General features: G+C 36.9%; 1 annotated feature.

Annotated features, from left to right (window-relative positions):
* Nucleotides 782-861: an enhancer, noted in NCBI's record as "active region_23965". NCBI's record gives its function as "activates an Ori minimal core promoter by ATAC-STARR-seq in GM12878 lymphoblastoid cells {active_cell/tissue: GM12878}" and the evidence as "EXISTENCE:reporter gene assay evidence [ECO:0000049][PMID:35858748]".

Genomic DNA, 3,627 nt, shown 5'->3' on the forward strand with positions numbered 1-3,627 from the left:
GATTTAAAATTCTAAGCATTTGAGGAGGAAAAATTCATGCCTGCAAGTGATGAAAATAGATGGCCCAGGTTAGATATCTCCTCTGGGCCTGGAATGGAACTTAGAAGGGAGAGAAAAAAGGCCACACATGTGAAGATGAATATTTTTGATTAAAAAAATAAAGAATAAGGGAATTTGGTGTTCATATTTTAACCAAAGTTCCAGTATAGTGCCTTTCTGTGAGTCTAGGTTTCCAGAATGTTTATACTTTTTGAGATTTCAAGGGATATTGTCAGGCTTCCTATTTTACGATCACACTTGGACATTGGATCTTGCCCTTTGTTTGAATGTGTTCTGTCTTTCGGCATGACATTTTCAGAGCAGAATAAGAGAAGAGAAAAGCATACAGAAAATTGATCACAGCAGTGACTATTTTGGGAAAGATTAATTAGGAATAAGAATTATAAATAATACTTATTTAGGACTCATTATGTAAAAGGCTCTCTTCAAAGCCCATTCATTCATTCATTCATCCATCCACTCAAAACGTATTTATTGAAATCCCATTTTGTACCAGAGGAAAATGGAGACAAAGAATTAAAGCAAGGAGACAGAGTCCTTGATCTACAGCTTGAGAAGATAGATGATAAATAACTAAGTACATCATAAGTGCTATGGAGAAGAGGGAAACAGAGCAGGAGACTAGACAGTGGGAGGGTAGAGGGCTATTTTATTGCTATTTTATTCAGAGCTTGTTTCTTATTCAGGGAAAGCCTCCCTGAAATAGAGACATTTGTTCAGAGGCTTGAATTAAGGGAGGGCGTGCATCATGTACATAACTAGGGGAACAGCATAGCAAGAAGAGGAAACAGCGAGTACATGGCTGTCCGGGTAGACAGTCACCATCTGAGGTTTCACTTAGTGGTTTCAGTTACCCATGGTCTACTGTGGTTCAAAAACATTAAGTGACAAAATCCAGAAATAAACAGTTTATAGGTTTTAAATTGTGTACCATTCTGAGTAGCGTGATTAAATCTTGAGCCATCCTGCTCCCTCCCTACCAGATCATGAATCCTCCCTTTGTCTAGCGTCTCCATGCTGTAGAGTTACCTGCCTATGAGCCACTCAGTACTGCTGTAGGTCCTCAGATTGACTGTCGAGGTATCACAATGTTAGTGTTCAAGTAAGTAACCCCCTTTTTTTAACTTAATCATCGCCCTTGAGTGCAAGAGTAGCGATGCTGACATACTGTTATACTTGTTCTATTTTATTATCAGTCATTGTTAATCTCTGACTGTGCCTAATTTATAAATGAAGCTTTATCATAGGTATGTATGTATAGGAAAAAACATAGTACATATAGGATCTGGTACCATTTACAGCTTCAGGCATCCACTGGGGGATGTACTTGTCTTGTGTTCCAGAAAAAGCAAAAATGTCAAAAGAGCTGAAACGTGGTAAAAAAGGGAGAGATAGGAGATGAGATGAGAGCTGTGTGAGCTAGGGAAGGAGCTGAGCATTTAGGGATGTGTGGGTGGCTGAAGAACTATGAGTTTTTTGATGAACATGAAGGCAGAGTTTGAGGTGACACATCTACAAGCCAAGAAATACCAAAGATTGCCAGGAAACCACCAGAAGCTAGGAGAGAGGCATGGGAGAGATTCTCCCTCGCTGACATCAAAAAGACCCAACCCTGCTGGCGCCATGATCTCAGACTTTTCGACTCCAAGATTGTGAGACAGTAAGCTTCTGTTGTTTAAGCCACCCAGTTGTGGCATTTTGATTTGACAGTTCCAGGAAACTAACACAGGAAATGACCCACTTATATGCATTATAGCTGAGAATGAATGAATAGTAGAGTCAAAATATGACTGCAAGATAATCTGACCCCCAGAGCCCAGGCTCCAAATCTCTGTCTCTACTACTTCTCTAAAAGACATATTTTAAAATTGTAAAGTGAGAGGAAAATATTTCCAAAGTATCCATTTCAATGAAATTAAGAATGTATATTTACTTTAAGTCATAAATATATATCCAACAGCTTTTTCTGTGCTTTTTTATTGTTGAAGTTGAGCTACGGAGAGCAAGTGTTTGAAGAGGACTTGGCTGTAGAGAATTATCTCCTGACTCTGTTTTTGATTAGGAAGAATAACACCCTGGGAAAGAGAAGGTCTATACTCCCAACCTCCACCTGCTGGAAATCACTACTCTATTCTCTGCTTCTATGAGCTTGACTTTTTTAGACTCCATATATAAGTGACATCATGCAGTATTTATCTTTCTGTGCCTGGCTTATTTCACTTAGCACATTGTCCTTGAGGTTCATCCATGTTGCTGCACATGACAAGATTTCCTCATTTTCTAAGACTGAATAATATCCCATCATCATATATACCACAATTTCTTTATACATTTATTAACTGATGGCTACTTAAGATGATTCCGGATCTTGGCTCTTTTGTGAATACTCCTGCAATCAACATGGTGATGAAGTTATCTCTTCAACATACCGATACCCAGAATTGGAATTGCTCAGTCACATGGCAGTTATATTTGTATTTTTGAGGGACCTCGATACTATTATTCATAATGGCTGTACTAATTCACATTTCCACCAACAGTGTACCAGTGTTTCCTTTTTTCTGCCTCATCACCAACATTTATTGTCTGTCTTTTGTCTTTTTGGCAATAGCCATTCTAACAGGCATTAGGTGATTTCTCATTGTAATATTGATTTGCATTTGCCTGATGAATGATGTTGAGTACTTTTGCATGTAACTGTTGGCCATTTGCTTGTCTTCTTTTGAGAAATGTCTATTCAGGCCTGTTGCCCAATTTTAATTGCATCATTTATTTTCTTGCTATTGAGCTGTTTGAATTTCTTATATATTTTGGATATTGACTTCTTACCAGGTGTATGGTAATATGCAAATATTTTCTCCCATTTGTAGGAAGAATCAACACTCTGTTGATTGTTTCCTTTGCTGTGCAGAAACTGTTTAATTTAAGGTCATCCCATTTGTCTATTCTTCTTTTTGTTGCCTATATGTTTGAGGTCATATCCAAAAAAATCATTGCCCAAACCAGTGTCAAGAAGCCTTTTTCCTGCATTTTCTTGTGGCTGTTTTACAATTTCATGTCTTTAAGTCTTTAGTCCATTTTGAGTTGACTTTAAGATGTAGTGCCAGATAAATGTCCAATTTCATTCTTCTGCATGTGGATATTTAGTTTCCCTAACACTACTCAATGAAGATAATGGCCTTTCTCCATTAAATGTTCTTGGCACATTTGTTGATCAGTTTATCAGAACAGTGTGGATTTCTTTCTAGGCTTTCTATTCTATTCCTTTGGTCTATGTGTCTTTTTAAATTCCAGTGCCATTCTGTTTTGATTATTATAGCTTTACAGTATATTTTGAAATTAGGTGGTGTGATGCCTCCAGTTTTGTTCTTTGTGCTCAAGAATGCTTTGGCTTTCTGGAGTTTTTTGTAGTTTCATACAAATTTTAAAATTGCTTTTTCTGTTTATATGAAAATACCATTAATGTTTTGATAGAGATTATATTGAATCTGTGTATTGGTTAAGGTAGTACAGAAATTTTAACAGTATTAATTCTTCCAATCCATAAATATGGAATATATTTCTATT

This window comes from Homo sapiens, chromosome 6 (assembly GCF_000001405.40).
Source record: "Homo sapiens chromosome 6, GRCh38.p14 Primary Assembly".
NCBI classification, from domain to species: Eukaryota; Metazoa; Chordata; class Mammalia; order Primates; family Hominidae; genus Homo; species Homo sapiens.